Genomic DNA, 14393 nt, shown 5'->3' with positions numbered 1-14393 from the left:
CCTCCAGCTTTGTTCTTTTGGCTTAGGATTGACTTGGCGATGCGGGCTCTTTTTTGGTTCCATATGAACTTTAAAGTAGTTTTTTCCAATTCTGTGAAGAAAGTCATTGGTAGCTTGATGGGGATGGCATTGAATCTGTAAATTACCTTGGGCAGTATGGCCATTTTCACAATATTGATTCTTCCTACCCATGAGCATGGAATGTTCTTCCATTTGTTTGTATCCTCTTTTATTTCCTTGAGCAGTGGTTTGTAGTTCTCCTTGAAGAGGTCCTTCACATCCCTTGTAAGTTGGATTCCTAGGTATTTTATTCTCTTTGAAGCAATTGTGAATGGGAGTTCACTCATGATTTGGCTCTCTGTTTGTCTGTTGTTGGTGTATAAGAATGCTTGTGATTTTTGTACATTGATTTTGTATCCTGAGACTTTGCTGAAGTTGCTTATCAGCTTAAGGAGATTTTGGGCTGAGACGATGGGGTTTTCTAGATAAACAATCATGTCATCTGCAAACAGGGACAATTTGACTTCCTCTTTTCCTAATTGAATACCCTTTATTTCCTTCTCCTGCCTGATTGCCCTGGCCAGAACTTCCAACACTATGTTGAATAGGAGCGGTGAGAGAGGGCATCCCTGTCTTGTGCCAGTTTTCAAAGGGAATGCTTCCAGTTTTTGCCCATTCAGTATGATATTGGCTGTGGGTTTGTCATAGATAGCTCTTATTATTTTGAAATACGTCCCATCAATACCTAATTTATTGAGAGTTTTTAGCATGAAGGGTTGTTGAATTTTGTCAAAGGCTTTTTCTGCATCTATTGAGATAATCATGTGGTTTTTGTCTTTGGCTCTGTTTATATGCTGGATTACATTTATTGATTTGCGTATATTGAACCAGCCTTGCATCCCAGGGATGAAGCCCACTTGATCATGGTGGATAAGCTTTTTGATGTGCTGCTGGATTCGGTTTGCCAGTATTTTTTTGAGGATTTTTGCATCAATGTTCATCAAGGATATTGGTCTAAAATTCTCTTTTTTGGTTGTGTCTCTGCCCGGCTTTGGTATCAGAATGATGCTGGCCTCATAAAATGAGTTAGGGAGGATTCCCTCTTTTTCTATTGATTGGAATAGTTTCAGAAGGAATGGTACCAGTTCCTCCTTGTACCTCTGGTAGAATTCGGCTGTGAATCCATCTGGTCCTGGACTCTTTTTGGTTGGTAAACTATTGATTATTGCCCCAATTTCAGCTCCTGTTATTGGTCTATTCAGAGATTCAACTTCTTCCTGGTTTAGTCTTGGGAGAGTGTATGTGTCGAGGAATGTATCCATTTCTTCTAGATTTTCTAGTTTATTTGCGTAGAGGTGTTTGTAGTATTCTCTGATGGTAGTTTGTATTTCTGTGGGATTGGTGGTGATATCCCCTTTATCATTTTTTATTGTGTCTATTTGATTCTTCTCTCTTTTTTTCTTTATTAGTCTTGCTAGTGTTCTATCAATTTTGTTGATCCTTTCAAAAAACCAGCTCCTGGATTCATTGATTTTTTGAAGGGTTTTTTGTGTCTCTATTTCCTTCAGTTCTGCTCTGATTTTAGTTATTTCTTGCCTTCTGCTAGCTTTTGAATGTGTTTGCTCTTGCTTTTCTAGTTCTTTTAATTGTGATGTTAGGGTGTCAATTTTGGATCTTTCCTGCTTTCTCTTGTGGGCATTTAGTGCTATAAATTTCCCTCTACACACTGCTTTGAATGCGTCCCAGAGATTCTGGTATGTTGTGTCTTTGTTCTCGTTGGTTTCAAAGAACATCTTTATTTCTGCCTTCATTTCGTTATGTACCCAGTAGTCATTCAGGAGCAGGTTGTTCAGTTTCCATGTAGTTGAGCGGCTTTGAGTGAGATTCTTAATCCTGAGTTCTAGTTTGATTGCACTGTGGTCTGAGAGATAGTTTGTTATAATTTCTGTTCTTTTACATTTGCTGAGGAGAGCTTTACTTCCAAGTATGTGGTCAATTTTGGAATAGGTGTGGTGTGGTGCTGAAAACAATGTATATTCTGTTGATTTGGGGTGGAGAGTTCTGTAGATGTCTATTAGGTCCGCTTGGTGCAGAGCTGAGTTCAATTCCTGGGTATCCTTGTTGACTTTCTGTCTCGTTGATCTGTCTAATGTTGACAGTGGGGTGTTAAAGTCTCCCATTATTAATGTGTGGGAGTTTAAGTCTCTTTGTAGGTCACTCAGGACTTGCTTTATGAATCTGGGTGCTCCTGTATTGGGTGCATATATATTTAGGATAGTTAGCTCCTCTTGTTGAATTGATCCCTTTACCATTATGTAATGGCCTTCTTTGTCTCTTTTGATCTTTGTTGGTTTAAAGTCTGTTTTATCAGAGACTAGGATTGCAACCCCTGCCTTTTTTTGTTTTCCATTTGCTTGGTAGATCTTCCTCCATCCTTTTATTTTGAGCCTATGTGTGTCTCTGCACGTGAGATGGGTTTCCTGAATACAGCACACTGATGGGTCTTGACTCTTTATCCAACTTGCCAGTCTGTGTCTTTTAATTGGAGCATTTAGTCCATTTACATTTAAAGTTAATATTGTTATGTGTGAATTTGATCCTGTCATTATGATGTTAGCTGGTGATTTTGCTCGTTAGTTGATGCAGTTTCTTCCTAGTCTCGATGGTCTTTACATTTTGGCATGATTTTGCAGCGGCTGGTACCGGTTGTTCCTTTCCATGTTTAGCGCTTCCTTCAGGAGCTCTTTTAGGGCAGGCCTGGTGGTGACAAAATCTCTCAGCATTTTCTTGTCTGTAAAGTATTTTATTTCTCCTTCACTTATGAAGCTTAGTTTGGCTGGATATGAAATTCTGGGTTGAAAATTCTTTTCTTTAAGAATGTTGAATATTGGCCCCCACTCTCTTCTGGCTTGTAGGGTTTCTGCCGAGAGATCCGCTGTTAGTCTGATGGGCTTCCCTTTGAGGGTAACCCGACCTTTCTCTCTGGCTGCCCTTAACATTTTTTCCTTCATTTCAACTTTGGTGAATCTGACAATTATGTGTCTTGGAGTTGCTCTTCTCGAGGAGTATCTTTGTGGCGTTCTCTGTATTTCCTGAATCTGAACGTTGGCCTGCCTTGCTAGACTGGGGAAGTTCTCCTGGATAATATCCTGCAGAGTGTTTTCCAACTTGGTTCCATTCTCCGCATCACTTTCAGGTACACCAATCAGACGTAGATTAGGTCTTTTCACATAGTCCCATATTTCTTGGAGGCTTTGCTCATGTCTTTTTATTCTTTTTTCTCTAACCTTCCCTTCTCGCTTCATTTCATTCATTTCATCTTCCATTGCTGATACCCTTTCTTCCAGTTGATCGCATTGGCTCCTGAGGCTTCTGCATTCTTCACGTAGTTCTCGAGCCTTGGTTTTCAGCTCCATCAGCTCCTTTAAGCACTTCTCTGTATTGGTTATTCTAGTTATACATTCTTCTAAATTTTTTTCAAAGTTTTCAACTTCTTTGCCTTTGGTTTGAATGTCCTCCCGTAGCTCAGAGTAATTTGATCGTCTGAAGCCTTCTTCTCTCAGCTTGTCAAAGTCATTCTCCATCCAGCTTTGTTCCGTTGCTGGTGAGGAACTGCGTTCCTTTGGAGGAGGAGAGGCACTCTGCGTTTTAGAGTTTCCAGTTTTTCTGTTCTGTTTTTTCCCCATCTTTGTGGTTTTATCTACTTTTGGTCTTTGATGATGGTGATGTACAGATGGGTTTTCGGCGTGGATGTCCTTTCTGTTTGTTAGTTTTCCTTCTAACAGACAGCACCCTCAGCTGCAGGTCTGTTGGAATACCCTGCTGTGTGAGGTGTCAGTGTGCCCCTGCTGGGGGGTGCCTCCCAGTTAGGCTGCTCGGGGGTCAGAGGTCGGGGACCCACTTGAGGAGGCAGTCTGCCCGTTCTCAGATCTCCAGCTGCGTGCTGGGAGAACCACTGCTCTCTTCAAAGCTGTCAGACAGGGACATTTAAGTCTGCAGAGGTTACTGCTGTCTTTTTGTTTGTCTGTGCCCTGCCCCCAGAGGTGGAGCCTACAGAGGCAGGCAGGCCTCCTTGAGCTGTGGTGGTCTCCACCCAGTTCCAGCTTCCCGGCTGCTTTGTTTACCTAATCAAGCCTGGGCAATGGCGGGCGCCCCTCCCCCGGCCTCGCTGCCGCCTTGCAGTTTGATCTCAGACTGCTGTGCTAGCAATCAGCGAGACTCCGTGGGCGTAGGACCCTCCGAGCCAGGTGTGGGATATAGTCTCGTGGTGCGCCGTTTTTTAAGCCGGTCTGAAAAGCGCAATATTCGGGTGGGAGTGACCCGATTTTCCAGGTGCGTCCGTCACCCCTTTCTTTGACTCGGAAAGGGAACTCCCTGACCCCTTGCGCTTCCCAGGTGAGGCAATGCCTCGCCCTGCTTCGGCTCGCGCCCGGTGCGCGCACCCACTGGCCTGCGCCCACTGTCTGGCACTCCCTAGTGAGATGAACCCGGTACCTCAGATGGAAATGCAGAAATCACCCGTCTTCTGCGTCGCTCACGCTGGGAGCTGTAGACCGGAGCTGTTCCTATTCGGCCATCTTGGCTCCTCCTCTCGAAAATGATCTTTCTTTTTCTTTTTCGTGGATGTTTTCATTTTTACTTCTGTAAAATGAAAAGTAATGTTCAATTCAATGTTGGCTGACATTGAATAATAATTCTTTTTCTTAAAAAGTACAATCTGAACTTTTACAGCATAAATGATAAGTACGTTAGAAAAAATGCTATAATTTAATAATACAGATGCCATGCCAAGTAACGTAACACTGAACAATAGTTTAGTTTGAATTTGGATAAACTACACATCTAGGTAAAGCATAAAGAATTACGGAAATGTCAGAAAGATAGACGTATTTACAGTAAAATTTACTAATGGTGAAAGTGGAATATAAACTCAGTTTCAGTATAGCCATATCAGTATAACATTTTAATAAAATTGGTCAAAAATAAGACAAACTTGATTGATTGTTAGTGTATTAGAGCCAAAAGTAAACTTTAATTCATCATAGTTCCTTTTTAATCAGAATAACAGCAGCATTGTGGATTGGAGGATAGTCATTTTGTAGTGGTATGATTAAAACAGTTTATGATAGTTTAATAATCTAATAAGGAATAAGATGGAAAGATCTTTGAAAAGACAGTTAGCTGCATGCCTATAATAAGCTGGATGTACTTTCATATGAATTTTATCTATGATGCCAAAAGATGTGTTCCAAACATAAAAGGGAAAATTAAATTTGGAGAGGAGGACATTTTTTCCTCTCTAAAACGTGCCTGACCCAGTATAGTTTATGGCATGGTTTAATCAGAATATTAAAATTCTCACAGTATTATTTATACAGAATTTATCTGGGGAAGAGCTATATTGAATAAAATTGTTTTTCTGTTAACTTGTGTAAAATTAAAAGTTATCAAATTTAACTTTTGAAAAAAAATTGGAAAACAGTTGAAGAACAATTGCTTCTGAGTTTAAGAAACAGAACATCAGAAGTGTCACTGCCAAACTATAAACTCCTGTTAAGAGGACTAAACTCCTTTATAGAAAGGACTATGGTGCTGCTGGTAAGATCTGAAACATCACTGTGACTTAATGGAAAGTAATCACCTTTTGGTAGAAATCACATTAATGTTCCTAACTGATACTTATAAAGTGAACCAATCTGCTGTGCTTAAATGAAAAATACAATTATCCACATACAAAGCAGTGTGTTGAAAATATAGATTTATCCCCCTGTATGTTTTCTGTAACTTTTTACTAGATGGCAACATTTGCTGTATCTAACCTGGTTACTATATAAGGCACAAAAAGAGCTCAGAAGATAAGACTGAACAACTGCCATTTTTCTTGCTTGAAGATCTTCAGTACCACAAGAGTGGGCCCACTATTTACTCCTGAGCAGTCACTGTCCTTGTAGTTGTAATTTTGTGCTTGGGTATTCTCCAAAGCCTCTTGTTCCTTTGAAAATTATGTATTTTCAAACATCGGTGTTCTGGTCCTTGGATCATGGCTATACCATGCCTCCTGGAGTTTCAGTTAATGTGGTAAGTGTCAGTCTTGGAGACCTCAGAAATCCTTCTATTAAGCCTGTCATAAAATTACACAAGGTTTTTCAAAAACTTTTTTCTCAAACCAAATTCTCTATTACTCAGGGTTTAGCCACAGAAGTAGAATATTAATATATATAATATGTATACATACACTATGTATATGTAAACTATATGTGTCTATAGACAACATATATACAGTTATTTTATATGTGTGTGTATGTATATGTGTTTAATATACATTTTATATATATATATATATATATATATAGACGAGAGAAAGAGTAAATTAAATTTCTTTGCTTTTGTTACAAGGAGCTTTCAGAACTGTGAACTGTTGTCTCCACATCTGATGCTGAAGCTCGAAGCCTAAGGCACAAGCAGTTAGGAAGGGAAGGTCATAAGCAGGCTGGAACCCACAAGCATGAGCTGGAACCCTGCAAAGATGGACTGAAACCCTGTTTGTTCTTGTTGCCTCTGACCCTAGTGATGAGTGTGTCCTGCAGAAGCCAGGCCCTTCATCGTGGAGTTAACCTGACACCTGGCCCAGGAGTCAGAGGCGCTGAAGGAGGATTCAGGGCAGGTGGATCGAGTTTGGGCCCAGATGCTGCTCAATACCATGACAGTGAGCCATGAGCTCAGCAACAGTTTGTGTGAGCTACAGAATGGCTGCATCACTTCTGCTGCTCCAAGAAGCTCACACAGAGAAAAAGTAAATCCCTTCGTAAGAAGCTGAGATAACAGAATGAGGAAACTGGTCCTAGGCCAGAAAAGAGGAATGTAAGGTTATTAATATAAAGGAATGTAAGTGTGTGGTTTAAGTTCTTTTTTTTTTGAGACCGAGTCTCGCTCTGTCACCCAAGCTGGAGTGCAGTGGCGCGATCTCGGCTCACTGCAAGCTCCGCCTCCCGGGTTCACGCCATTCTCCTGCCTTGGCCTCCCGAGTAGCTGGGACTACAGGCGCCCGCCACCACGCCTGGCTATTTTTTTTTTTTTTTTTGTATTTTTAGTAGAGGTGGGGTTTCACCGTGTTAGCCAGGATGGTCTTGATCTCCTGACCTCGTGATCCGCCCGCCTCGGCCTCCCAAAGTGCTGGGATTACAGGCGTGAACCACTGTGCCCAGCCTTGTGTGGTTTATGTTCTTAACATAACATTTATGGACACACATTTTGGCATATGCAGTGCATTTTGTATTCAGTGCACATCTCTTGAATAGTTCTGTGGAGCACTCCTCTTCATTTAGAGGATGCACTTTTGCTCATTGTTGTTATACCTGTTGTTCTTTGAATCTCACCTCCACATTTCATCAGTGGCTAAGCATGTGGATTCTAGCACATGCCTATGACTTTTTGGTGAGTGGAACTTGAAATATCTGACAGAAATTGCAAGTCGGTAGTAGAAATAGATTAATCACTAATAAAAAAGATTCACAGTTGCCTTCTGTAATGTAGCTTAAATTTAGTGGCTGATAGACAAAAAAAGCAAATGGAATTATGAAAAGTGGATGGAATTGATTTTTTTAAGCATAAGGAGTTGTGAGGAAAGACATAGCCGTACTGATACAAATGCAGCTTCCAGTAAATCTCATTTTTCTTAGCCGTAATTATGAAAATCCTCTTGAGCATTCCAGCCTGCTGTGAGCTGCTCTGCTGTTTTTCACAACACAGACAATTTCAGTTATCTTAGAAATCTGGAGCTGTCTTCAGCCCAATGCCCAGAAGAATCCGCTAGTACTGTGCTCAGGGTCAATTGTTGCTTAAACTACTTTTAGAGTCTATTCAACATGACAAGCAGATCAATCTTTTCAATTCAGAACTGATGAAATTTTACATTTTAGAAAGCATTGCCTGGAGAGTATGAATTCAATAGATGTGTTTTAGGACCAGTTGCTGTTTCTTTTGGCTATTTTACTAGGGCTTCTCTAAATGCAGAACACTAAACTCATTTGAAGCTTTTAAACAGGCTTCATTCTCTCAATATATACGTGTGTTCCAGAGTATAAGGAATTAATCTTAGAGCATCATCTTGTAGTATAACCAAGTATGGACACTGATTTTAAGCAGTTCATGTAGAATAAGGAAATTGACATTGCAGTTGTATTTATATCTTATTTTTTAAACTTACGTATCCTATGCCGAGTTATGTATAAAAGAAAATGCTAGGGTAAAATGTCTATTTCTAGGCTATGGCAAATAGGATGAAAACTCACATTGCTTATCCTTTAGATTTACATTACAATAAAAATGGTTTCATATCTGAGTCACAGTAATTTTATCCAAAAATATATTGGAATAAGAGCAAATGAATGCACCTTGGAGAGGTAAACAGGCAGCAGCAGGATCAATGACACTGGTAGTGTAATCACCTGTGAAAAAAGTCTTGATTTTTGTCTTTATGTAGTCAAAATAACAGTTTATTGTACATAACAAAAGAATTAGTGGAAAAAATTGAATTTTTTCTTATGCTTCCTGAAACTGTTTTCAGTTGACTTTTTGATGGACTACGCAGAATAGACTCACCTGTTTTTAGCCTGAAAATTGACCTATGGCAGTGTTAAAAGGATGCCACTGAATCTGTAATGAGATAGGCAGCGAAGGGGTTTGGCATTCAGTCCTGGGTGGAAGAATGGTAAAGAAACTCTTTTCGGTATTTAAAGAGAACAGGGTAATGTTGGTAGGCATAACATTTTCCAATAAAGATTCCTTAACAATGACGTTAGGGCCTTCCAGCAGCCGACATGAAAATAAAGCTGCTGTGTAGTAGTCCACACAGTTACCCTATCTGTCCAAATGCTAAATCCATGAATCTGGCATTGACATTTTATTTATTTATTTTCCATTTTGCAAAACCTATTTAATCAGAATAAATAGAGTCCTGGGCAGGGCTCCAGCACCCCCACGATGCCTGCTCCAGGTTGCAGGTTTCACAATGGGAAGCAGCATTACTTTGTCATCATGGTGTCTCAGTGAAGTCATTGAAAGGGACTGGTGTGGTCTCAGGTGAGCATCTGTGCCTGCAGGGTCCTGGGAACAGGGTGACTGGGGCTCTGGTCCAGCCTTTGAGGCCCATTGCTGTCCTGTCAGCCATCTCATTCGTCTGTGAGCACGGCAGGGAGTGGCACAGCCTCCTTGGTTCTGCCAACCCTGCCAGGAAGGGACATCAGCAAGGAACAATAACATTTTCAGTAAGCAATAATTTAACAAAACAATTATGTGAGAAAGGAAGGGAGACAGAAGATATCTTTGTCTGGGCCACACATTGTAAGGCACTGTAGTGAATTTAGTGACATACATACAATTTGAAACTGCGTTTGCTGGTTTTAACATCAGATATTTTGATTATGAAGCCCATTGAACATTTTGATGTGTTTGATAGAGGTGCTATTGTTGCTTGCTCTCCATTATAGTAAAGGTGTCATTAGGAAAGGTTTAAATGTGCCTAACAACCCTCCTGCCTGTGGAGAGAACAGAAATGTCACACAGGTACCAAGCAGGAGAGAAGGCTCTGAACCATTTTTGTCCTCTGCATTTTGATTGGTTGATGATTTGGCTTCTTTAGAGGCTGCCGAGGCTGCAAAAGGAGTGAAAACTAACCAGCCACTAAATTTTGAAACACCAAGGAGGTCAGAGAAGCTGGGGTTATTATCATCTCTCAGAGAGCAAATAAAACATTAAACATTTTCAGTCTCATTTTTTGTGACAGATTTTGACAGGAACATAAAATAAAAACCTCACGAATTTGTGCTGGTGACAATGATTATAACACGACCAGGGAATGGTATAAATGTCAACATTTCTCGAATCGATTTGAAGATTGTGATCTTGCAGACCTCCGCAGACACCGCAAATGACTAGAGTAGAATTTCCCCACTTATGATTACTTTATTGGAAGAGGTGAAGAAATTTCAATATAATACCTGACAAAAAAGAATTTAAAACCCACCACCACATTCTGAGGAGTAAGACATTTTCACATCATTGTGAGATTTCTTCTCGAATCTTCCTGCAAAGTATATAAAACAAGCCCAGTAATTTTCAAAGAAAGACCTTCATATAATAGTATTTTGATTCAAATTAAACTTGTGGTTTCTATTGAATTAAAAAAACTTAATCTTTCTGTTGTAGTTACATATGTTATTTAAGATTTATAGTTAGACTCTCTTTACCACTAGCTTTTCATGGAATCATTTTTGGTTATAGAATAATGTCTTCATGCAAAATAACCAACCTTCTTTGGCCATCGACCCTTTTTAACCTCATAATAGAATCACTAAATTAATAGAGATGAGTGTTTTGGTGAAACTTGTACAAAATGGAAATTAAACACAACTTTAAAGAAGCATGAGAAAGCAGAGAGCACACATTATCCTAACAATCTGTGTCTTATTTAAAATTTCTTAAAAGGAAGACTTTTTAAAACTGCTCCTTCCTAATCCTAAATGTTTATCTGAAGGGTCAAAGGAACCACTAGGTGTTGCTCTAAGACAGCTTCCTATAGACAAACCAGTAAATTGCTTTATGGTTTTGAGATTTCATCGGTCATTATAATTTCCTTAAAAATGGTAAGATTAAATCTGAGGCTTAGAAAATTAGTCTTAAATAGTACCATGATCATCTATTAAAATATGTATAACATCTGCACATGTGCCCCTCCCCAACATCTCTGAAATGCCTTTTAAATGAAAATCAAATATAAAATCCTATGTATTACTGATGGTCATGTGCACTTAATACCAAAATAACCAGTTTGAATTGGAGACAATCACCTTTCTTTTTGCTATACTCAAACGGTCCCCAACAGTTCATTTGATTATTAATTACTGACATTACTGAAATGAGAGATTGTTTTAGTATTAGGGAATGGAACTTTTATTTTAGCTGAGGTTTTTACCACATCAAGCAGCTTCTGCAAAAGGAATTTTGGATTTTGGCAGTGTGACACCCATTCTCTCTCTCTCTCTCTAAGCTAACAATCCAGTAACCCATCTAGTATTCCGTGGTGACACTTGGAATACACATGAAATGAGTTTTCTTGGTTCATTGATGTTTCTCCATAGTTGAAAACTACTCTATGCTATAGCTTGACAAATTTAGACTGTTCATTGCAAAAGCCAGGACTAAATTATTAGAAATGTGGCAATATAAAAATGAGGTGAACTAGAAGAACTTTGGGGAAGATACTGAATAACACCTAGTTTCTGCACAGGAGTTTCTGTGGCTCTGCATCTTATAGGACTTTCTAGTTTTGTGAAGGAGAAAAGGATGTAAATGCTATTCTGGTAAATAGAACGTTGATATACCATTAACAATGACAAATAGCTGTCTCTTTGAACCCAGATCATTCATAGTTCTTAATCTTTTAATTAATATAAAGGAATATAAAAAATTAGACTATAATGAATTGTGATTTTCTTTCCATTTCATTTTTTATAAAAGTCTGGGTATGCTGTTTTCCAAAAGAGACAGTAAAGATCCTCTCAGGCTGGGTGTAGTGGCTCATGCTTGTAATCCCAGCACTTTGGGAGGCTGAGGTGGGTGGATCACCTGAGGTCAGGAATTTGAGACCAGCCTGACCAACATGGCGAAAGCTCATCTCTACTAAAAATACCAAAAGTAGCTGGGCATGGTGGCGTGTGCCTGTAGTCCCAGCTATTTGGGAGGCTGAGGCATGAGAATCACTTGAATCTGGGAGGTGGATGTTGCAGTGAGCCAGGATCACATCACTGCACTCCAGCCTGGGCGACAGAGTGAGACTCTGTCTCAAACAAAACAAAACGAAACAAAACAATCATTTCTACACTCTTTTTAATTCTGCATCTTTGGCTGAGATCGACTATTGAATCAATACATCAAGGAATTAATCTTATCTTGCCAAGGAAACAGCCCTGTTGATCTAATACCTTTTTAATATCACCAATGATTATGATATATCATTTATTAATGCAGTTTTCCTGAAGAAATATAAAATAGAAAGTTTGCAACTTAAAAAAATGTCAGGTTTTTTTTTTGTCATTTTGCACATACAGTTACTACTGAGTGACTATTTAGGCTGAATTTGTATATACCAACCTTATTAATATGTTTGGGGTAAAAAACATTAACAGAGAAATGCACAAGAGCTTCTTTATCTTGGAAGTTAAAGAAATGGCTTCAAGAATTAGGGAAATTGATTTGAATCCAGACTATACCATTTTCAAGCAAACTAACCCCTTTAAATCTTCAGTTTCTCACCTGTTAAATTGGGAAAACAATAGCACCGATCCCATGGTGCTGTTGTAAGAATTACAAGAAATAAAACATATTAGGACCTGGTTCAGTGCCCATATGATAGAAATGTCCAATAACATTATCTTGAAGTCTGTTTTTCTGTAGATCTGTGAATTTGGTCTCACGGAGATTCACAGTGTTCCCTAGAAGTGACTATTGCAAATAACTGAAATTTATCTCCTTTAAAGCACCAAACACCTTTTCTGTTTTACTCCTTCAAGAGCATTCAGGTAAACAGCATGAGTTTGGTGCATACGTTCTCACCTATTTTCACTGCTGCTCATAGGCATTTTTTGCTCACCTTCTTGATGCTGGCTGTGTTCTGGATGATGGAAGTTTAACAGGTGATATATCTGAGTCAATGAGGTGTTACATCTTCTTTTCTTGTTAGACCAAGAGCGAGAGACTTGACATGCCATGTACTAAACGAGAGGACATTGTCATTGCCTAGAAATGCTGCACCTCTGTCTTCAACTTTAGTATCTTCTTCTTTGAACCTAAACTTCCATTAAACCATCTGACTTCTGTTCCTTCTCTCTGTCTCTTTTCAAACCTCATTAAACTCCCAGGACCTTGATTCTTCAATTTTTCTTTGTCATTGGCCTCTATTGTTTTTATTTTCTTCTCTAGCCTGAGAAAATTACATGATCCATAGCTTAAATTACATTATTTTTAAAACTTTACCCTCTTACTTATCCCTTTCATACTTTTATTTCACTCACCTAAAATATTCCAACTGTGTATCAATGCAATTGTTTTAACAACTTGCTGTTGAACAAGATGGTGGTGGGAGACAGAGGTGCAGTAAACAGATCTAATAGATCTGGACAACTTTACAGAATGGGGACAGGAAGACCTCTGCAAAGACCAGCGATTTCCTTCCATGTTGCTTGTCATCTGCCTCTCCAATCCCCATGACACTGTCACATGCACTGTGACTACTCTCATTTGGTCTCATGTTCTCCTAAAGCCTCTTTACCTAGCAAACCATTTCACTTCCCACGTCCTAGAGGATCTAGAAGTTATCACAAGTTTCTGAACTTCTTGAGTGCTCCCGACCCCATCTATTTCTTCTTTGCTTTTTTTCTGCTAGTTCAGTGGATGAATTGTCTCTACTCTTACATGAAATTGTTCTTTGACCTGTGCTCTGCATACCATTCCCTTTTGCCTCTTATGCACCTCTGTCCATCAGTAGTATTCTCTCCCACCTCTCTTATCAATTCTTCCTCTTTACTGGATCCCTTACAAAACATTTCTTTCTCTTGGCTCCCACTGGGCAAATCTGAGTTAATTTGAGACTCTAAATAAATAAAAAAACCAGCATAATTAAATAATAATCCACGAGTCCAAACTGATGTAAGTAAACACATTAAAAATAGAGAAATAGTGGAGAAAAAGGTATTTCTTATATACCAACTAATAGGTGGCAAAATTGAATTAGAAAAATCACAATTTGGGATAATGTTTTTAGGAATAACAGTAAATTCACATATTCTCAAAGAATTTCCCCACAAGATACAAAGGGGAAATGAGTAACTAGAAAAGAAAACCAGCAGATGCCACCTTGACTAATGATCACAGTTAATATTACCAGCAATGGGACAAATAGATGTCTACCCTTCCAAATATGATGCAATGAAAAGGACACACCTCACTTTTGTGGTATTTCTGCCAAAAATGCATAACCTGAATCTAATCATGAGGAAACCTCAGAAAAACCTAAGTTAAGGTAAAAATCTACAACAATAAATGGCCTCCAGTCTTCAAAAATGTCAAGACCATGAAATCACAAAAGAGAAAGAATGTGGGATTGTTAGATTATAGGAGAAAAAAGAGATATGACAACTAACAGAAAGTTCTTTGTGATTCTGGGTTCTGGGTTGGAGTCTGGACCAGTATTTTAAAAAAAAATGCCAAATCTTATTAGTAGGACAGTTGGAAAAGATTTGCACGAGATCTGTAGCTTAGATTATAATTTTGTATTAATGTTAATGTCCTAATTTTGGTAATTTTATTGTGGTCAAGTAATGAGGAAATGTGTTTAC

The 14393-nt window shown here is 38.9% G+C and overlaps 1 long non-coding RNA gene across 2 annotated transcripts in view, besides 1 other annotated feature; it reads left to right on the top strand.

The window, feature by feature from the left end:
* Positions 1-14393, top strand: part of LOC105377918 (uncharacterized) — a 64633-nt gene that overhangs the window by 33488 nt on the left and 16752 nt on the right. The gene's annotated exons all lie outside the window — the stretch shown is intronic.
* Positions 3737-4343: an enhancer, noted in NCBI's record as "H3K27ac-H3K4me1 hESC enhancer chr6:104937517-104938123 (GRCh37/hg19 assembly coordinates)". NCBI's record gives its function as "activates a minimal SCP1, AML or CMV promoter by ChIP-STARR-seq in primed H9 embryonic stem cells {active_cell/tissue: H9 hESC(primed)}" and the evidence as "EXISTENCE:reporter gene assay evidence [ECO:0000049][PMID:30033119]".

This window comes from Homo sapiens, chromosome 6 (genome assembly GCF_000001405.40).
Source record: "Homo sapiens chromosome 6, GRCh38.p14 Primary Assembly".
In the NCBI taxonomy this organism is placed as follows: Eukaryota; Metazoa; Chordata; class Mammalia; order Primates; family Hominidae; genus Homo; species Homo sapiens.
This window is presented reverse-complemented; position numbering and strand designations above follow the sequence as displayed.